At 44.0% G+C, this 21,741-nt stretch overlaps 2 protein-coding genes across 3 annotated transcripts in view, besides 1 other annotated feature; one reads left to right on the top strand and one right to left on the bottom strand.

Moving 5' to 3' along the window:
• The window catches only part of CLDN2 (claudin 2), a 30,698-nt gene extending 23,893 nt beyond the window's left edge, over positions 1-6,805 (bottom strand). The window contains exon 1 of the mRNA NM_001171092.1: positions 6,465-6,805. The gene's annotated coding sequence lies outside the window, so the exon portion shown is untranslated. The remainder of the gene's footprint in view (positions 1-6,464) is intronic.
• Positions 3,628-6,906, top strand: RIPPLY1 (ripply transcriptional repressor 1). Of its 2 annotated transcripts, NM_138382.3 has the most exons (4): positions 3,628-3,836; positions 4,754-4,829; positions 5,431-5,495; positions 6,061-6,906. In NM_138382.3, the coding sequence occupies exons 1-4, from the start codon at positions 3,682-3,684 to the stop codon at positions 6,218-6,220; spliced, it is 456 nt and encodes a 151-aa protein (NP_612391.1). In that variant the 5' UTR covers positions 3,628-3,681; the 3' UTR covers positions 6,221-6,906. The 2 variants fall into 2 exon arrangements, with proteins under 2 accessions (NP_612391.1, NP_001165177.1); NM_001171706.2 differs by lacking the exons at positions 4,754-4,829; positions 5,431-5,495.
• Positions 11,790-12,314: an enhancer, noted in NCBI's record as "H3K4me1 hESC enhancer chrX:106137885-106138409 (GRCh37/hg19 assembly coordinates)". NCBI's record gives its function as "activates a minimal SCP1, AML or CMV promoter by ChIP-STARR-seq in naive H9 embryonic stem cells {active_cell/tissue: H9 hESC(naive)}" and the evidence as "EXISTENCE:reporter gene assay evidence [ECO:0000049][PMID:30033119]".

Genomic DNA, 21,741 nt, shown 5'->3' with positions numbered 1-21,741 from the left:
AGAGTGAGGGAAAGAAAATAGAGAGAGGAAAGAAGGGAGGGAGAGAAAGAGATCAAGAGAGAAAGAGCAAGTTAGGGGAGCAAGAGAACATACAGTGGAGGGGGAGTTCTTGTTTTTTGGGATAACAGAGACAGGCATTTTATAATCAGGAGAGAAAGAGCTGGTGTAGAGAAGCTGAACTTTCCCGAAGACAAGAAGCATAACAAATGGCTGGAGGAAGGGCCCAGGAAGGAGGTGGATGAGGCCAAGGCCCAGGCAAAGGGATTAGCCTTTAACCAGAGGGGCACCTTGTCCCCTGAGAAGAGAGGGCTGGAGGGGAAGGAAGTTGGAAAGGCAGGCCAAGTTTGAGGGGGGAGTGGGGCATGGCACTGAGGTAATTCACGCTTGAAGGCCTCTGTTTTCTCAGGGAAGTAGAAGGAGAGGTTATTCTGTACAGAGAGAGGGGAGGGGCAGGAACGTGGTAAGGAGCTGAAGGAAGTTTGGAATGTGGCCAAGCGAAATGTGGAGGCTGGAGCTGGGGCCTTGACAAGGGAACATGCTCAAGGATGACTGAGGGGCGCTGGGGTCAACTGAGATTGATCGAGTCTGTCTTCTCTCTGCGGGTCTTGTCTCCTTCGCTAAGCTTGAGGCAGAGTCCATGGCACTTTCCTTTCCTGTCTGTCCGTTAGCTAGGCAATGCTAGCCCCAGTACTCTCAGAAAGGTCTGGAAAAGCAATCACTGGCAGAACCCAGAAGCACTATAGGGCTGTTAGGGGAACAGAGGTAAGATCTTAATTGCTCTGATAGGAAGGTCTCCATCTTGGTTGATCCATACCTTTTCTGCTGCCCTGCTGACCAGTTTACTCCTGTTTTGTTTTAAGTGAAAAGGAGAACAGCCAACTTTTGCCTAGCAACACTTGCAGGCCTTAAATCTTACAGGCCGGGGAAAAGCCAACAAGAAGAGCCAGCGGCTTCATGTCCCACAAGCTAAATGAGGCTGAGGCAATTCCTAGGAGGTAGCAAGACAGAGCCATTGCGTAGGGAGGACAAAGACCCATGGAAACAGGTCTGAAGGCTCCCTGGGCTCCAGGAGAGCATGCTGGGAGCTGGGTGTAAGTGGAACCCTGAGGCCTGCTGCTCAGGGGAGTGAAGGGACTGGACAGCTCCTAACGTGAAGGTGGTGACTGAAGGAACACAAGTTCAAGGTGGGAGGTGGCATGATGGGTGGCATGGTTGAGTCTGGTCAGGCATGAGCCCCGAGCTCAGGAGGAATATCTGCCTCTTAGCCCTCTCCCTCCTTCCTTCTGCTGATTCTCGGAGGCCACTTACAGGTGGAAAAGATCCTTGAGTGTGACAACAGGTGTTGTGCTTCTTCCTCCTTTGCACACCATCTCCTTCCAGCCCAGTCTTTTCAGCCTGGCTCCCTCTCTGAGCCACACTCCTCCTTTCAGCCAGTGATGCAGTCAGTACAAGGAAACGCTTAGCTCATGAAGGTAAATTTAGCAAGAACTCTCAGAGACTGATAGATGCTCTGGCTCCCCAGCAACCCTCTCTTTCCCCACAAGATTTCCCTCTTCAGGACCTGGGATCTATCTTGCACTTAGAAAATTCAGGGACAGAGAGCTCTCTCAAGTCCAAGGCAGCACATTTCACTGAACTCATTTCACCTCATATAATAAACCTCTGTTTATTGAGGGCCGGGACCGTGCCAGGCCCTTGGGTTAGGTGGTGACTGAGCTGTTAGAAAGTTTTCCTTTGATTGAGCCAAAATGTGTCTCCATGTAGCTTCCAGCCATGGGCCTCAGCCCTGCCCTTTGAAGTCACCCAGAACAAGTGTAATCTCATTGCAGTCTAATCCTCAGATATTTGAAAATATCTGTCATTTCCCCCAGCTTTCGTTCCTCCATGGATAAACATTTCTTTGTTGGTTTATTTTTATTTTTTGTGCCTTTCCTTTTTATTACTCAAATAATATCAGTTCATTGTGGAACTTTTTAGAAAATTCAGAAAAACATAAAGTAAAAATCCACCCCACTGTTACTCCCAGAAATGACAACCCTAACACTCTTTCTTCTCACCAGTCTTATTTTTTCTCTGCACGCTGTCCATTCTACATCTTTTTTCTTACCAAAATGGGATCATCCTTTAAGTAATATTTTAGAGACTTATTTTGTTTTCACTCTTTCAATATGTTAACTTTTCCCTCATTCTTCTACCATGCCAATTTTAATATGAAATTGTGTAACTGCCCAATGATTTATCTAACCAGCTTTTAAAAGTTGTTTTCAATTTTCCTTTGCTGAAAAGAACATAGTGGGACTAGAATTGGAAGTGGGGTGAAGATGGGGGGTAGGTGAACAGAGAAATGAGGAGCCCTTAAATTAGTCATGCTATCTTACCATCTGATTTTTTTTTCCATTTTCTGTGTTGAAAAATTATACTTCCCAGAACATGATTGTGAGCACCTGCTTGGCATTCAGTTGCAAGGATTTGCCCTAATTAATGTAACTGGTTTCCTATTATTGGACATTGAAGTTGTTTCTAATTTTTGACCATTACAAACCAGACTGTGATGAACATCCAAGAAGCTAAATCTGTGCTGGGGCTGGACACTGAGGTCAGGAGGAATATTTTCGAGACCTCTGAAGCATAAGGTCCCTGCCAGTAGTTGTAACTAGAAGCTTTCTGGCAAAGGCCCAGAAGGCTGGCTAAGGCCGAGGACTGTGCTCAGGCCTCTGGGCTTGCCCGGGTTCAGTACCCATTTATGTAGCCCCTGTCAGAGAGTGTTCAGGCTGGCATGGTCCTATGAGACCACTGGGCCAGCACCCTCATCTCTTACATGAGGGAACTGAGGCCTGGGGCTGGGGCTGGTCCTTCGGCAGCTCTGTAGTCGGGCAGAACTTTGCCTCTCCCCAGCACCCTGGCTTCTGAACTGGAAGCTAAGCTCTGAGGTTTGGAATCTCACCCAGAGGCCCTGTGAAATCCTGCCTGCTCTCCTTCACTGGACCACTTACTGCTGAGGCTGGAGGGGGCACTTTGACAAATGAACTGATCAGTAAGGGGCTGAGGGGCATTGAAAGAAGACTTAAGGTTTACCCAACAAGCATCTGGGCCTGCTCTGCCCAGAATGCCCCTTTTTTCCCTAACCCAGATGATATGCTTAATGGCAGTCACCCTACATTCAGGTCCACCTGGCAAATCTATCTGAGGTTGAGCTGAAATAACAAGTGAGTCCCTCACTCTCCTTAAAGGGGTCAGCTGTCTCTTCTTGCCAGGAACTGGCTTAGTTAAAGGCCTGTCTATTCAGCCCTCTGTCCCTGACATCTCTGTGGTTTCAGAGTGCTAATGAGCTCCTCTCCTTCCCCTCTCAGGCCTTGCTACTCCCTGGGGAATTCACACAAATGGTGTGCGATTTGCCCCTTCTGTGTTTTTCTTTCTGACTTGGAGGCAAAGCAAATCCCTCACCTCCCACTGACACCATGTTTATTCAACTGGGAGAGATTTCACACCCAGGTAACCCAGCTTTCCCTCCCTGAGCCCCTTCCCTAAATCTTTATCCCCCTCCCAAGTCATCCCACCCCTGTCCTCCCTGAATAATTTATAAGACCAGGCAGGGCTTATAAAAGGGTCTCCCAGGAAAAGCCAAAAGAGTGCAGAAGGTTCTGGGAAGTAGGAGACCCCACTGGCTTTGGTCCCCTAAGAATGGACTCTGCTGCCTGTGCTGCTGCTGCCACCCCTGTTCCAGCCCTGGCTTTGGCCCTAGCTCCAGACCTAGCACAAGCCCCACTGGCACTCCCTGGCCTGTTAAGCCCATCTTGCCTTCTCTCCTCTGGACAAGAAGTAAATGGGAGTGAAAGGTAAGTTGAGCTTAGCCTTTGGCAACCTGAACTTAGGCTTGAGAGCTTCCTGAGAGAGGAAGGAAAATGAGATGTCCAGGGCACCCTGTTCTCTGTGAAGGGGAAAAGCAATGGCCTCATAGCCCTCCCTCCTCAACTCTAGCTGGAATATCTCATCTGACTTTTCACCTCACTAATCCCGCTGGGTGGCAAGAGGGGACTTGGGGACAGCTGTTGCCAAAGCTGAAGGTGAAGCAGCCAGGTCCTCATAGGCCAGGTGGCTGAGTCCCCTGAGGGGGATGGGGAACTGCCATGAAACCTGGGCTTAACACAATCTAGACTGTGGGGGTGGGGAGTTTGGGGAAAGAGGACCAAAGTCTAAAGAGGCCCTTGACTGGGACATTGTCTTTTTCCTGACCACGCCATAAGATTTCCATTTGCTTTTTTCCTACCTCTGCAAGTCCAGTGGGGAAGCAGTGGACCCAGGAACATTTCTGGCCCTCTTCTTCAGCCCAGGAAGATGGTAGAGCTCTGAGTTCTACATCTTGGAGCAGGAAGTAGGAGGCAAGATATTTTCCATCTAGCCCCCACTCATTACTCCAAACATTTAGTCTTCAACAAACATTTACTGAAACAGCTACTGTGTACCAGACATTGTACTAGGTGTTGAGGATTCAGATACGATTGAGCATATCTTTGAGCTTAAGAAGCCCAAAGACAAGTAAATAGACAATTACAAAACAGCATGATAAAAGCAATAATAACATTGCTGAAGCCGAGAGGAGGGACATCTGTCCTGGAATGGGCTCAGGAGCCTTAGGAAAGGCTTCCTGGAGCAGATGGCACCTGAGCCAAGCTTTTGGGAGGTCTCTTGTTATCTCAGGGAGCCCACCTTTCAGTCTCTTCCTCTACGGATTGATCTCTCCTCTTTGTCCCAGAGGAACTTGTCTCTGGAGGCCCTGGCTGTCTTCCACAAATGACTCCCCAAGGCAGATGAGGAAGCTGGTGGATTTGGTGAGTTCGAGCCCTTGTGACGTGTGTTCACATGCAGCCACATGCATTAACAGTGACCAGGTCACTTCCCAGAGAGCCCCTGACCTCAGTCCAAAGGTGCAGATCTGAGATAGCATCCTCACAGTTTTGCCAACATTTGATTCCAACAGAGAGCAGATCCAAGCTTTCTGTGGCAATTGGAAAGATGAGGAGACCAAAGCTCAGAGTGGGCAAGGGATCTGGGCAGGCCCCACAGCCAGTGTGTGGCAGTGCTGGTGCTTGAGGCCTCGTCTCCTGGCACCTTACTCCAGTGCTCTCCCACCCACCCGATCTCCCTGAATCTTTGCTGCTCCAGTAGAACACTGTCCCCTGGAGAGCCTCCAAACAGGTGCTGGAACAGAGGCAGGGAAGCAAACAACCCGCAGGACTCTGTCTGCTTGTTTTTCAACCAGAACCAAGAGAGACCCCTTGTTGAGGGGTGGGTATTGGGGGTTGCTGGGTCCCAGAGATGTCTAAGGTCTCTTCAAGATCATTTTACCTGCAGCTTTCTGACCTCTAGTACAGAGGAGGAAGTTATCTAGCCATGTACTTTGAGCCACATGCTAGCTTTTGCTTTGGACAGGCTGCTGGTGGGGCAACGGCTGCTGAGGTCACCAAGGCTGAATCCAAGTTCCATCACCCTGTCAGGTAAGCTTCTGGCATGAAGCTCCAAACTTGACATAGATCCATTAGCTCTTTGAATCTTCACAAAGGTCTTGTGAAGCAGGAGAGGGGAGGAATTGCTATCTATGATCGCTGTTTCATAGGAGAGAAAACTGGAGCCCAGAGAGGTTAAGGGACTTTGCCAAGGCTGTCTTTTCTAGAGGCATTGTTAACGATGCCCAAGAATGATCCCCCATGGATGGGTCAGTGAAATAATCCTCAGTGGAAGGAGATGGGGCCATAGGGCTGGAGAATTCTTGGCTAGAAGCTTTCTGGGGTAGGTAGCAGGTGGAGTCAGAGCCATAAGTGACAGATGCTGGGGCTGGCCCCCGACCCAACCACTATAGGTCCATAAGGGTTTACCTTCCTGCGTGGGGCCACTTTGTAACAATGCAGAAGGTTCTGTTACAAAACTTTCTTTCTTCCTTTCCCTCTGACCTCATTGTTGCAGCCAAGAGAAGGGGTTTAGGGGCCAGCTTCTTTCTTGGCCCTACTGGCCCCTCTGCACATATGACACCTGTTAGGGGCCATGTTTCTTCTCTGTCCACAGGCTCTTCTGGCCTAAATCCCGCTCCTTCGACTATCTGTACAGTGCTGGGGAGATTTTACTGCAGAACTTTCCTGTCCAGGCAACCATCAACCTATACGAGGACTCAGACAGCGAAGAAGAAGAGGAAGATGAAGAGCAGGAGGATGAAGAAGAGAAGTAGGAGGCCAATGAAAAGGGGCCAGAAGGGTGTGTGAGGGTACCAGGGTCCATACCCTACAGCGCCACAGCTCATCCCCCTTCCTCACCCCTAACCTATCCAAATGGAGGCAGCCAGAGTCTGATTGGGGTTCAGTTTGTCTGGCAAGTTTTCACAGACATCAGTTAGCCGGAAGTATTAGTCCAGCAGATAGAGCTTTCTGGACTGAAAATTGGGTCATCTAGCTGCCCAGCTCACCCTGGCTTACCTGAATGGCCTGTGAGCTCAGGCCTCTTGCATCTCATTGTCTGGGCTGCTGTTGTGTTGACCATGGGAGGGTTCTAGGAGCTCTAGAAGGAAGGCTTGCTGAAGCCCCCAGGAAGCAGAGCAGGGCAGGGAATGCCCTTGTGGAGGGAAGTAGTCATTCCTCAGGCCCTTTGACTCCCTAGCCTTCCCAGGTGGCCATGTAGTCCCGTCTCTCTGTGGAAAGCCTGACTTCTGGCTTCACCCCAAGGAATACCAACAGCAGATCCATGCAAGGTTGGGGTGCCTTTTTGATGAGTCTTACAGGAAGGGAAGGCAGTGTGTAGAGAATCGGCTTGCTCTGGGGATGCCTCCCCATTTTGCCTGCTGTCCATTGAAGTCTGTGTGTTGGCATGAGATGAATCAGGAGAAAAATAAACTGGATGGTGTTTTCCTTTTTCTTGGAACTGTGCTGATTTCTTAACTGAACTCTGCCCATATTGTGAAGCCATGGGCAGAGGTTCAGAGACCAGCTCAAGGCCAATTCATTGCTTTTCCTACCTGAGGTCAGTTGACAAGTTTTTCTTCATGGGGTTGTAGGGCTGGAGACCCAGCATGGGGCCAGGCCCTCTCCATCAATTTGTGAAATCAGACTTGATTAAACTGCAAGGATGGCTTGGAAAGGGAACAAAAAGGTCCCAAAGGGCAGCTTGTAAGTTGGGAGTAGGGATGCAGGTTAGAGGGGAAATGTGACAGGTGCAGCCTCATTTGAGCCTCAGAGATGGCTGTGTGCATGTGGGGAGGAGGGCTACTAGGACCTAGCAATTTTTTTCCTCAATTCCCTTTATATTTACCACAGCTCAGACCCTCATGCTTACCCTTGCTCCAATTACTCTTCGACTAAATTTTTTTTTTTTTTGGCCTCCAGCTGTCCCTTTGTGATTCATCTTCCACACTGACAACCAGATTAGACCACATCATGACTTTGCCAACACTTTTGGGCTTATCTTTTTTTTTTTTTTTTTTTTTGGTCACAGATCCCCTTGAGAACCTGTGGCTTCTCTACTCAGAAAAATACATTTGTTCACACCACACGCACACACACACACACACAGTGCTATATCTTCACAAATCAAGTACTTAACTTGATATTCTAGGCCTTTCAGTTGTCTGGGTTTTGCCTGTCTCTTGAGACTCATCTCTCAACTCTTGAAGTTTACACTGCCTCTCTTTGAATGTGGCATGCTTTCTAACACCTCTGTGTGTGTCCTTAACCCTGTCTGGAATGCCTTTCCACTTTCGCATGCCTAGGAAACTCTCATTCATCTAACAGAACCAGCTCAGACACCCCTGCTGTAGGAAGCCTCCCCAGACATCCCAGGCACCAGGTTGGGTGCCCCCACTCATTCAGAGCCTCCCCTACCATAGCATTTGCCTCCTTTCCTATACAGTAACCTGGGGCTGTATTTGATATTCCCATATGACTTCATTGCACAGAACACTGCCTGGCACAAAGGAGGTGCTCAGGAAATGTTGAAAGAGAAAAGATTCTCAAATCTTCTGAAAGTAGCTCTTGGTGGAACCACCATTGTTCCCCCAACTTGCTGGCTTCCTGGTTTAGCTACAAAGGGAAAAGGGTAATGTCATTTCATTCAGGAGCAAAACGATGACCATCTTTCTTTTCCTTCTCCCTCAGCATGAGACAGGCTGCTTCAGTTCTAAGCCCTAGCTGGGACTTCCCTGCATTGGACACAACCTTGAGTAAGCCACCAAACTCACACACTGGTGCCATCTATTGGTCAAAATTTAACCTTGTTCTTTAATTAAGGCTTCCAGGCAGTTGACCTTTGACTGCATTAATTCTTTTAGTCCATTCTGTTTCTGTTTGTAAGTAAAGTGGAATCTACCATGTGCTAGCAGTATGACCTTGGGCCAGTTACTTATCCACTCTGAGTCTCAGTCTCCTCGTCTGTAAAATGGGGCTAATAATACTTCCTTTCAGAGTTATTGTGAGGATTAAATGATATATGTAAAGTACTTAGCATGCCCCCTGGCACATAGTACAAACCCTCAATAAATGGTAGTAGTCATAATAATAGTAGTCTTAGTAGCTGCTATTGCTGATTTTATAAAGGAAATGATCTTATAGGCCAGAGTCAGCTAATGACGATTTACTCAACTAATAACTGATTTGTCAGTTATCACCACTTGATCTTCCTGGCACCATTTGATGGTTTACCGGTAAAAGCATCTTTTCAGTGTTTATTCCAAAATGAAAAAAAAAAAAGAAAGAAAGAAACCGCCCCCCCAAAAAAAAAAACAAAACAACAATAGAGGCGAAGTGTGGCTCCCTGGACCACTGTCTACATTCAAATGGTAACCCACAGGTTTTAGCTCCCTTTTTCCAAGGCCAGAGGTTTGTAAACGTATTTTTTGTGCTTTAGCAGGAAAACCTTTCTTTTGAATTGAATGCAGAAGCCCAATATATAAATCAAATAAAAATGGAGCTATCCTGGTGGAAGCCATAATGGGGGGGGGGGGCCAGAATTCTTATGCTGGTGTCTTCTCTCCGGTAAAGTAGCTGTCTCCACCCCTTTCTGGGAGGCACTTTCAAGGATCCCTAGACTGTGGAAAACACAATTTGGAAACCACTGTTCCAAGGGTTAAACCAGGATTGATTTGAAGTAGAAGGGAGATTAATTAGTACTTCAAAATGTCCAGTGTTCTGTTTAAAATCCTTGTTTTGGGTCCTAAGCACCCAGCATTTCACAGCTCAAAAATTGCTCGAATCCTTATACCATAGGTTATAGGGATTTAAAATCCTTGGAATCCCAATATCCTTGGTTTTAAGGTATTATATAGCATAGTATTACAAATCCCTAAATCCTCAGGGATTTAAAGATCCTAAAACCCTTGGAGCAGTAATTCGTAACTCAGAATGGGCTCTTCTCATTTTCCAACCCCGCCCTCCTTACTGCACACTTGCTGTTGTTTACTGGGCAGACATTTTGTCTCGCTGTCCTCTCCGTCCCCTGTCCTGAAATGGCTTCCAGTCCTCTTCCCCATACGTGGTTGCTAAGTCATTGGAATTCACTGTTCTGACTAATCAGAGCTCAGTATGAGTTACTTTGTTATGGGCGTTTCCAATCCTTGTGCCAACTTCAACTCCAGTGCACAAACTCAGGAGAAAAATCTCTGTGCAAAACTCAAGAGTCCTTCCTCCAGCTCCATTTGGCTGGCCCATCCTAGTGTCCCAGCACTTCCCCATCCTAGCACTGATTTCCTCCTGTTTCTCCCACCTTGTTGCAGCAGTGAGAGAACACATCTGTTGGGGTGAGGCTGCATTTGAGCTGGGCTTTGAAGGATGGGCATGAGTAGTAATGGAGGGAGAAAACTTTTCAGAAAGAGGCAGCACTATGAATGCCTTCATTAAACAATACTTATTGAGCACTTACTATGTGCCAGCCCTTAACGTTGTAATGATTAGGAGCATGGGCTTTGGAAGCAGATGAACATGGGTTCAAATGCCTTTTCTGCTGCATGCTGGCTCAAATCATAGGCCCACTCCCCTCAAGTGTCAAGGTCAGCTCTCTGCTCTTAACCCTTTCACTACAACCTCTATAGTTTTTTGTTTGTTTGTTTTTTGAGACAGGGTCTCACTCTGTTGCCCAGACTGGAGTGCAGTGGCACTTGGCTCACTGCAACCTCCGCCTCCCAGGCTCAAGCAATTCTCCTGCCTTAGCCTCCCGAACAGCTGGAATTACAGGTGTGCACCACGACGCCCAGTTAATTTTTGTATTTTTAGTAGAGATGGGGTTTCATTATGTTGGCCAGGCAGGTCTTGAACTCCTGACTGTAGTTCTTTATTGTGTCACACCTCTTCCCCACACAGCACATGCTCATTAAAATAGTCGCCTATTCTCCTTTGCCTCAGCACGGAAAGCCCTCTGCCTACCCAGTGGGTGTTACAAACCCTCACCTCTCACCCCCTCCTCAAAACTGTGCCTGTGTGACCCATCTAGTGGGTAGATACATTGTCTCCTTTCCTCCCCACTTCCCTTTTGCCAAATGGTGGCCAATCCCCATCCCAAATAAGGTTGTTAGCAGACCTGAATCCACTGTTTTGGCCTATCAGGAACATGGTGTTGGTTCCTGTGTTTTTGGTTTATCCCCTGGCTGGCAAGGCTCGTGACAACCTCCATGGAAACACAGAAACCCAGATACAGAAAGCCAACAAGGAATGACTGCTCTGACAGCGGGTGCCACAGCACTTGCTACTGACGTTACACCCATCATCTTGTGTGGTACTTGTAATCACAACAGTCCTAGAGATAGGTCTTATTATTATCCCCACTTATTAATGAGAAAACTAAGAGTTAGCTGGGTTTCTGTGCCTGGGTTTGTGTGCCTGCATGGAAGATGCTACAAGCCTTGTCAGCAGTGATTAAGTAAAAAATACAGGAACCAACACCAGGCCATGACAAGTAAAACAGTGAAGTCAGGTCACCAGTTTACAACAGGAGACTGGAGAAGAGAGGAGATGAACTGTCTGTCCACTAGAGAGCCATAAAGTCACAGTGCGGGGTGGCAGGGGGGCGGGGGAGTAGGAGGTGGTGACACCCACAGGTGTGGGAGTGGGGCTTTCCCTGTCCAGAGAAGACTAGACAATAGGATACCTAGGAGGATAAGAGTTAGAACAGCTGATAATTCTGGAATTCTTGTTATGAACCTTACATGGATTAACTCCTTTAATACAACAACTTTGAAGGATAGGTACAGTTGGGAAAACTGAGGCTTAGAGTGGTTTTTAAAACTTGCCCCAAATCACACAGTTGGTAAATTGTGGCACCTTCTAAGCGTCAGGCTTTTTACACATTTTACCTCATTGAATCCTTATGGCAACCCTAAAACTCAAGCACTATTATTTTCCTTGTTTTATGGATGAGGAAACTGAGGTTCAGAGAGGTTAAGGAATCTTAAGGTCACGTAATTAATAAATGACCGATCCAAGATTTGAGAGATGACAGCAATTGCTCCAGGTTACATTAATGGTAAGTGGCAGAACTAGAGTTCAGGGCTGCCTGACACCAGAGCCCTGTGCTTTCAGGAGGTGGAATCAACAGGGTTTGCTGAAGGATTAAATCTGTGGGAGGGCAAGGGAGAAAAGATTTAAGTTCTGGCTGCAGGGAAGTGAGTCAGAGGATATGAAGAACTCTGGGCCAGGGGCCAGGAAACACTGAGGGCCTCTGAAAGGTGTCACTGAGGGAGGAATGTTTGGGGACCTCCTGCCCGGCAGTGGCAGGCTCTCACAGCACCTGGGCTGTGGGCACAGGGCTACCAGGGGTGAGAGGGGGATGAGGGAATTCTGTTCCTGCCCCTCGGTGCTGTGCTGCCTCAGAGTGGAATGGGCCCTGGCTGGGCATGTCTCACTCTGGCTGAAAAGTGGGAGGAACTACCAATTGCTGAGCTCTCCCGTTCTATCCCAGGCACTGTGCTTGGCACCACACACACTTTATCCTGAACTGGGTGGTGGTGGTGGTGGGGCATCCTAATGTTTACAGATAAGAAACTGGGACTCAGAGAAGTGAAGTGACCTGTTAGTAGCACAGGCAATGAGTGGGAAGCTGGGGTAGAACAGGACAGTGCGACTACAGAGTCCTGGCTCTTAACTACTAGGCTCCTCCTTCCCTCCTCCTTATTCCCCCAGAGAAGCCCTGAAAGTCCCTTAGGGCAGGCAGCTCACCCTGGCCTCCTGCAGCCTACGGGGAAAGAAGTGTGTAAACTGTCACAAAAAGGCATTGCTATCCCCATCACTGGGGACACCTTGAGGCCTGGGACCAAGTGTGAATTAAAAGAGGTTGAGGGAGAGACCAGGAACCAGCTGGAGTCAGGCTCTGGGTTTTTCTAGAAGTCTTCCATCCAAGGGAGAGAACAGCGGCCTCCAAGTCCCTAGCGATTCAATTCGTTTTCGCTAACAGCAAGACAGGCAGCCCCCTCTAGTGGCTGAGCTCTAAACCTACAGCACAAAGCCCAGGATGAGCAGGGCTCATCCATCCAGAGGATTCTATGGCCAGCACTGTTTTGTACCTGGTGGTTATAGGGACAGACTCTGGATTTAAACCAAACCTGGGTTCAAATACTGGCTCGACTCCTTGTTAGCTAAGTGACCATGAGAAAATGTCTCTAAGCCTTAGTTTCTTCATGTATAAAATAGGAATGATAATAATACCATTTTAACAGGGTTAATGTAAGAATTAAATGAGACAGCATATGTAAGGGGCTGGCAGAGTACTTGGCACATTACAGATGTGATAGAGACATGCACATATATTTATATATACATGTACACACACTACTATACATTGTGCATAGGTGTATATATGAATGTATACACATCTAATAATTGTTCTTTTTTGACACATGCTATCATAATAGTCGTCACCACTTTGACTTCCCTTGCCTTTCCCATCTGATATGGTTTGGCTGTGTCCCCCCTGCCCCCAATCTCAAGTTGAATTGTGGTTCCCATAATCCCCACATGTCATCGGGAGGGACCTGGTGGGAGGTAACTGAATCATGGGGGCGGTTACCTCATGCTGCTGTTCTCATGATAGTGAGTTCTCAGAAGAGCTAATGGTTTTATTAGGGGCTTTTCCCCAATTTGCTTGGCAGTTATCCTTGCTGCTGCCATGTGAACAAAGACTTGTTTGCTTCTCCTTCCATCATGATCCTAAGTTTCCTGAGGCCTCCCCATCCCTGGGGAACTGTGAGTCAATTAAACCTCTTTCCTATAAATTACCCAGTCTTGGGTATGTCTCTATTAGCAGCATGAGAACAGACTAATACACTATCTATCTAGCTCTACTAAACCCTGGTGCCCCAATTACTGTCAACACACTCCCCTGAAGCTTATGGGAAAGACATGGGCTAAGATACTTGCTTTTCTCCATGCACACTTTCAAGAATCTTGGACTGCACATCTTTGTCCTTCAATATTCTGGGAATGTTAATAAGCTTGCTTTACACAGGTGCTACGCTCTTTCTGTGTTTCAAAGCAACTTTACCTCCGTGATCTCATTTGAATCTCTTAATACTCCCAGTACTCTCATTTTTTTTCATTTTGTTTTAGATACGGGGCCTCACTGTCACCCAGGCTGGAGAGTAGTGGCTCAATCATAGCTCACTGCAGCCTCAAACTCGTGGGTTCAAACAATACTTCCACCTCAGCCTCCTGAGTAACTAGGACTGCAGGCGTGTGCCATCATGCTCTGCTGTTTTTTTTTTTTTTTAAATAGAGACAGTGGTCTCATTTTGTTGTCCAAGCTGGTCTTGAACTCCTGGGCTCAAGCAATCCTTCTACTTCAGCCTTCCAAATTGGATTACAGGCATGAGCCACTGTACCCGGTAACATTTTTAAATGAGGATATTGAAGATGATGACATGGGAAATGACTTGCTCAAGGTTGCATAGCAAGTCAGTGCAGGAGTCAGAACTAACCTCCAGAATCTCGATGTTGAGTCCAGTGCTTTCTACCAACCCTTGCAATCGTCCAGGGCCTTAAGCTCTGACTAAATATGAAGCACTTGTAATCCAGGACAGAACTTACTTTTGAAGGCCACACCACTACACTTTGACACCAATCTCCTGCTTCTACTGAGGCCAAGGTTGTATCTCCAGGAAACTATCAAACTATGATTCTTTACCTATAAGAAGTGGTGCCATGTTGCCAGGACTGGTGACCCAAGACAGCTACATCTCCGAAACATGCAAAGAATACAATTAAATGTTAGATGATGGGTTTGCAGAGAGGTGAACATTATCTTTTCAGCCAAGCTGCATGCACTGCTAAAGAATTAGCTGCTGTCCTGTACTCACAGCCAGCTTGACTTAGCCACTCTTTTTGTGTTGGACATAACCATCAGTGTCTCAGAAGGGCAGCCTTGTCCCTAGTCAGCACAAAAATTGGGAGGTGTTGATGCATGTCAGCAGCATGGGTCCTGATGGCAGCATCTGTTTGTAGGCACTGAGAGAAGCAGTACGATAATAACTCAAAGCTCTCAGTGTCATTTGATATTACTTTGGGGGCAGAGGATGCAGGCTTGGCTGTCAGTAGCAGTGGCCGTGTTTTCTCATTCTAACACACTGGTGACAAAATGAGCACTGCTGAGATAACAAATCATAGAGCCCAAACACCCTCTCCCTAGCCCCCATGTGACACTGGCAAGCTTGGTTCTGCTCAGAGGGGAAGCTTGTTACTTCCTTCTGGAGTGTTGGATCTCTGGGTGGCACTGAATTTTTCTTTCTGCTATCACTTGTTTTTTACTTGCTCATCACCATGGCAACTCGAGAGCGGGAGCCAACATTGAAATCAATCTCTCCCCAATAGACATATGTGGAACAGCAAGTGTACTCCCTCTCTAATATTAGGGAAGCAAAACATTTTTAACCCTCTCTCCGTGCTTCAGCCTTGGTCCGTGGTGATAGAAAATACTTTCACCTGCAATTTCGGGCACCTTTGCTCTTCCTGCATGGGAGTTTCCAATCTCATTGGTCTGAGGCCAATCATTGGGCCACAGCTCACCAGTGACTCAGGTCATTACAGTGAAAAGAATCATACACATCTGTGACTAGATAGCCGGTTCCACTTGCTGCTGGATGATTGGGTCAGGCCAAATTTGTTCTGAAGACTTTAGCTTCTCAGATTCAGAGTGAAGGGAGTAGCTTAAGCTGCACTTTCCAATCAATTTTTTTAAACCAAAGAACCTGCAACAGAAAGAGGAGAACAAGGTTACCAAGCCTATGCTGAATTCTCAGATCAAGCGTTTATTAATAAATACTTTGCTTACTATTCTACTATTGCTCATTATACATATAATTTTCTTGGTGGGAAGGGTTGAGGAGAAGGGTAAGATTCAGGAATTCAGGAATAAAAACTCCAACTTGAACCCACAACATCTAGGAAGGTTTGCCCAAGGTCAAAGTCTTGTCCCAGCCTATGTCTACACTGGGCAGAAAGGATGCACGTGTTCAATTTCCTCACCTTCCACTGATTTCTCGAGGATTTTGGGAGTACATCCAATTGAAAATCAAATTTTATATTGAGCTTTCAGTAGTGTGTAACTCTTGCACGGATACCGAGACGTGACCTGCCCATGTAATGAAATCGTTAGCCTGGGAGTAGGAGCTTTGCCTTGGACTAACAGTCAAATTTCCCCCTGCTCAAACACAACCATAGAAACTTGAGTACCAAAACGTTCTTGGAAAACTGTTGACAATTTCCACGTGTAAGAAAGCCCTGAAATAAAAAGCCATTCTTTGTAAACTTAGCAGATTTTTTTGAGTGGATATTTAATATCTTCTGAGATGGGGGCAGTGCGCTGGGAAGGAAAGGGCACCAAGCATCAGGAGACTGACTCAGGTACTTGTTTAGTTCTGTCATTTATTACTTGTTCAGTCCTCTAATACGTTGGACAAGTGATTTAATTTTCTCATCTCTAAAATGGGGACAACCTTTAGCCTATCAACCTCGCAGGTTTTTGGGAATGAGGTTCCAGTATATAGTTATATGATTAAACCACTCAGAAAACTGTAAAATGTTACATAAAGTTGTATTTTATAAGCACTGTGAAAAGAACTTCAGGATAATAGTCTGCCTTTCAAAATGCAGACACAAGCGCTATAAATTTCTGGGAGAAACCCTTGGCGATCTTCATAGAAGTCATTCATGCAAATTGCTAGAGAAGCTAAACCTCATGGCTTCACTTAAAAAGGTAGTAGAAATAGTTTTTGTCTGCCCACCTTTCCTGGATACCCCATTTCCTAATCAACTTGGGGCAGTTTTCCAAGAGGCCCTGTATGTGAAACTGTAAATGTGGGAGCAGTAACTTTGCCTGAATTACTGAGAGTGGTGACATTTGGTGGTTGCCATTGGCAATAGCTTACAAAATCTGAAGTTCACATTATTTCTCCGAGGCTAGGCTGCTTGTGCATTTGAGTAACACGAACATATTATTTCATTCTTTTTTTTCTTTTTTTGAGACAGTCTCACTCTGTTGCCCAGGCTGGAGTGCAGTGGCGCGATCTCGACTCACTGCAACCTCCATCTCAAGGGGGCAAGCAATTCTTATGTTTTATATAACTCCAGAAAATGTCCAGGCGAGCGCCAGCATGCCCAGCTAATTTTTGTATTTTTAGTAGAGACGGGGTTTCATGTTGGCCAGGCTGGTCTTGAACTCCTGACCTCAAGTGATCTGCCTGCCTCAGCCTCCCAAAACGCTGGGATTACAGGCGTGAGCCACTGCACCCGGCTACATATTATTTCACTCTGAAGGCACTCAGCATGTTAGTAAAATTGACTTTTTTTTTCCTACAAACAACTTTAAGGATTCATACTATTTAAACTCCAAAAAGGTAGAGGGAAATTTTCAGTTTTTTTTTCTCTAAAATAGTGGAAAAACTTACAAATAATCCATAAGAGAATAATTCCAGGCACAAGAACACCACCAAAAATGGTAGGCAAAATTCCAACTGACCAAAATGTTTGCTGAAACATAAAAAGTAAAATGAAGATAGAGTCATGGGAATACAAATAAAATGATCAAAGGTAGGAGAGTTTCTTTTTACTTTTAAGAAAAGGAAGGGTGAAGATACTAGTTTTTATGTAAATATTATACACTTTTTGTGGACTCTTCCCCTATTAGATATATGGAAAACCATACATAGGCTCATGAGGAGTTAGTAGAAATGAAAATTTTGCTCTTCCTATCTGAATAGAAGGTAAGAATCATAAATGTAGATGTTTGCAGTGCTTCCTTATATCTATTTTTATGAGTCCAATAAAATTGCATGCAGCTGGAGACTCCACAACTTTAACCAAATAGAAGGCAGTAGGATTAGACTGGGCATGGTGGCTCATGCCTGTAATCCCAGCGCTTTGGGAGGCCACAGATCACTTGAGGTCAGGAGTTCAAGAACAGCCTGGCCAACATAGCAAAACCCCCTCTCTACTAAAAATACAAAAATTAGCCAGGCATGGTGGCAGGAGCCTGTAATCCCAGCTACTTGAGAGGCTGAGGCAGTAAAATGGTTTGAACCCAGAAGGCGGAGGTTGCAGTGAGCCAAGATCACACCACTGCACTCCAGCCTGGGCGACAGAATGAGATCCCATCTCACAAGGGGGGAAAAATGACAGTAGGATTAAAAATAAAGAAATAGACAGGGGATTGAATAATGAACCCTCTTTAAAATGTTTAGTATCCAGAAGTGCAAATCTGTGGTTGTGCTAGGCTGATGACATTAGATGTGATTTTACTTTATTTCCTCTTTTTTTCTAAATGTTCCTTAAAGGGCTTTCATTGTTTTTAGACTTTAAAGTTAATGGTTAAGACAGTTGGAGGAAAAAAAGAAGACATATTAACTTCAAAAGTGCAACAATAAAACTGACACCTTAGAGAACCAATAAAAGCCAAAGACAAAAGAATGAGCTTATCAAAGTGCTGGAAAATTAAAAAAATAAAAGCAAAAGAGTAATCTAGAACTTGATATCCAGTAAAAATATCTTTGTAAAATTAAGGTGAATATCCTCACACACATATGCAAAATTGATTTTTATCAAAGATCTAAAAGCAGCCATTTCAAAAAATGGTGCTGGAACAATCAGACAGGCAGAGACAAAAATAAAAGATGAACCTTGATCTAAACCTCACATCTTATACAAAAATTAACTCAAAATGGATTATAAACAAATGTAAAATGTGAAATTATGAAACTTTTAGAGAAAGCTATAGCAGAAAATCTGTGGTATCTACAATTAGGCAAAGATTTCTAGACTTGATACCAATATCATGATACTATATAAGAAAAATTGATAAATTAGACCTCATTAAAATTAAAAACCTGTGCTCTGTGAAATGTCCTGTGAATTAGACAGAAAGACAAGCTAGAGACTAGGAGAAAATATTTGCAAACCATATAACTGACAAAGGACTCACATCTAGAATAGAAAAAGAACTTTTAAAACTCAACAATAAAGAACCCAAAACAATTCAATTAGAAAATTGGCCAAAGACATGAACAAATATTTTTCCAGAGAGGATATATCCATAGTGAATAAGCATGTGAAAAGATGTTCAACATCATTAGCTGTATTCATTTGCTAGGGCTCCCATAACAAAATACCACAGACTGTGTGGCTTAAACAACAGAAATTAATTTGCTTACAGTTCTGGAGACTAGAAGTCCAAGATCAAGGTGTCAGTAGTGTTGGTTTCATTGTGAGGCCTCTCTTGTAGATGGCTTGTAGATGGCCATTCTTGCTGCCTTTTCTTATGATTGTCTTTCTGTACAAACGTGCCCCTGGTATATCCACCTCTTCTTATAAGGACACCACTTATATTGGATTAACGCCCTAATCTAATGGTCTCATTTTAACTTAATAACAATTTTAAAGGCCCTATCTCAAATATGGTCACATTCTGAGTTACTGGGGGTTGGGACTTCAACATATAAATTTGGAGGGGACACAGTTCATCCAATAATATGTAATAAGAACATAAAAAGATGCTCACATTGGGGAAATACAAATTAAAACTGCAATGAGATACCACTAGATACCTACTAGGATGGTTACATAAAAAGACAGACAATAACAAGTGTTGGCAAGGATGTGGAGAAAATGGAAACCTCATACACTGCTGGTGGGAATGTAAAATGGTTCATTCACTTTGGAAAACAATTTGGCAGGTCTTTAAAATGTTACACATAGAGTTACCACATGACGCAGCAATCTCACTCCTAGGTATATATCCAAGAGAAATTAAATCATGTCCACACAAAAACATATCATGAATGTTCACAGCAGCATTATTGATAATAGCAAAAAGATGAAAACAATCCAAATGTTCATCAATTGTTGAATGAATATATAGATTGCAATATATCCATAAAATGGAAAACAACTCAGCAATGAAAAGGAACTAACTGCTGATACTTGGCTACAACAGGAATAGCCTCAGAAACATTATATGTAAACGTAGCCACATGCAAAGACCAAATGTTTTATGATTCCATTTATATTCACTGTACAGAAAAAGCAAATTACAAAAGGTAGACAGTAGATTAGTGGTTACCTGGGCCAGGAATGGGAATGAGGATTGGGAGCTCTCTTTGGAGTGATGGAAATGTTCTAAATTTGGATTTTGGTGATGGTTGTAAAACTGTAAATTTACTTAAAAATCATTGAATTTTACATTTAAAAGTGTGTGGGTTTGCATTGGGCACAGTGGCTAACATCTGTAATCTCAGCACTTTGGGATCTGACACGGGAGGAGCATATGAGGTCAGGAGTTTGAGACCAGCCAGGGCAACAGAACAAGACCCCATCTATACAAAAGATTTAAAAATTAGCTGGGCATGGTGGCATGCACCCATAGTCCCAGCTACTTGGGAGGCTGAGGCAGGAGGGTTGCTTAAGCCTAGGAATTCAAGGCTGCAGTAAGCCATGAACATGCCACTGCACTCCAGCCTGGGTGAGAGAGTGAGACACTGTCTCAAAAATAAAAAACAAACAAACAAAAAACAAAAACAAACAAAAAAGGATGAATTTTGTGGTACATAAATTGTATCTCAAAAAAGCTATTTTTACAAGTATATGAACAATAAAAATAACATCTTATAAAATAAAACAATGCTACATACTGTATGATTCCATTTATATGAAAGTATAGAAAAGCCAAAACTACAGTGATAGGAAGCAGTTCAATGTTGCCAAGGGTGAGGAGTGGAAGGAGGAGATTGCCTCAAAGGGGCCCGAGGGAACTTTTTAAACTGATGGAAATGTTCTATATCTTGATTGGAGTGGCAGTTGTATGAGTGTATACTTTTTCCAAACTCCTCAAACTGTTTAAAATTGGTAAAATTTCATTATCTATGCATTATCTCTCAATAAAATTGATTTAAATATTTTTAATCAGTGAAAGATTTTAACAGACTTCACAAAAGATGATAAAAGAAACATCTATAAGTACATTAAGTGACATTGGACTTCATTAGCCATCAGTGAAATGCAAATTAACACTACAATATGAAATACTCTACATACCCTCTAGAATGGCCAAAATTTAAAAAGACAAACTTTTTAAAATGCCAAGTGCTGGTGAGAATGTGGAACAACTGGAGCTCACATATACCGCTGGCAGGAATGCAAAATGGTACATTAATCTAAAAAACAGTTTGGACGTTCCCTAGGAAGTTAAAAAATATGTCCCAACATTTTCATTCCTGAATATTTACCCTATAGAAATGAAAATATGTTTACACAAAGACTTGTAAGCAACTGTTCCTAACAACATTATTCATAATTGCCCAAAACTGGGTACAACCCAAATGACAATCAAAAGGTGAATGAATATACAAATTGTGGTATATTTATACTAATGGAACACTAAAAGGAATAAACTTCTGATATGGGCATGGATGATTCTCACAAACATTATGCCAGAAATGGCAGGCAGAAAAACTTAGTGTATGACTCAGTTTTTATAAAACTCTAGAAAAGATAAATCTATAATGACAGAAAGCAGATCAGAGGTTACCTGGAACCTCATGAGGGTAGGGGAGGTTGACCTGGAACAAGGGAACTTTCAGGGTGATGGAAATATTCTATATCTTGATTGTGGTGTGGTTGGTTACACGGGTGTATACATTTTGTAAAAATCATACATTATACATTTTGTCAAAATGTTTACTTTAAATGAGTGCCTTAACTCTGTGTAAATTATACTTCAGTAAAGTTTACTTTAAAAAATAATTAGAAAAATGCAAATTAAAACTGCAATGAGATACTATTTTACACCCACCAGACTGGCTAAGATGAAAAAAGATAGACGATACCAAGTGTTGGTGAGGATATACAGATATCAGAACTCTTATTTATGACTGATTGGAGTATTAATTGGCACAGCCACTTGGAACATTATTTAGCCGCATCTATCAAAGCTGAACATATACATACTCTATTGATGTAGCAATTTCACTTCCAGATATTTAAATATATACCCAAAAGAAATGCATAAATATGGGCATCAAAAGACAAATATAAGAATGCTTACAGCCACATTATTTTTATATCACGAAACTGGAAACAATCCAAATTTCCATCAACAGTAGAATGGATTTTAAAAACCACAATATAGCCATACAATGAATTATCACACACAATAAAAGGGAATGAACTGCTGATACGTCACATAAATGAATTACAAAAACATAATGTTGAGTGAAAGAAGCCAACTAAAAAAATGCAT

This window comes from Homo sapiens, chromosome X, assembly GCF_000001405.40.
Source record: "Homo sapiens chromosome X, GRCh38.p14 Primary Assembly".
Lineage (NCBI taxonomy): Eukaryota > Metazoa > Chordata > Mammalia > Primates > Hominidae > Homo > Homo sapiens.
The sequence above is the reverse complement of the archived record's forward strand: the minus strand, read 5'-3'. Positions and strand labels throughout refer to the sequence as shown.

What these genes read in the sequence shown, in the direction of transcription:
- RIPPLY1 (NM_138382.3), top strand. Translation starts at nt 3,682, where the DNA reads ATGGACTCTGCTGCCTGTGCTGCTGCTGCCACCCCTGTTCCAGCCCTG. An exon ending in GAAGTAAATGGGAGTGAAAG is followed by an intron (nt 3,837 to 4,753) that starts GTAAGTTGAGCT and finishes TCTTTGTCCCAG; the next exon opens with AGGAACTTGTCTCTGGAGGC. An exon ending in AAGTTCCATCACCCTGTCAG is followed by an intron (nt 5,496 to 6,060) that starts GTAAGCTTCTGG and finishes CTCTGTCCACAG; the next exon opens with GCTCTTCTGGCCTAAATCCC.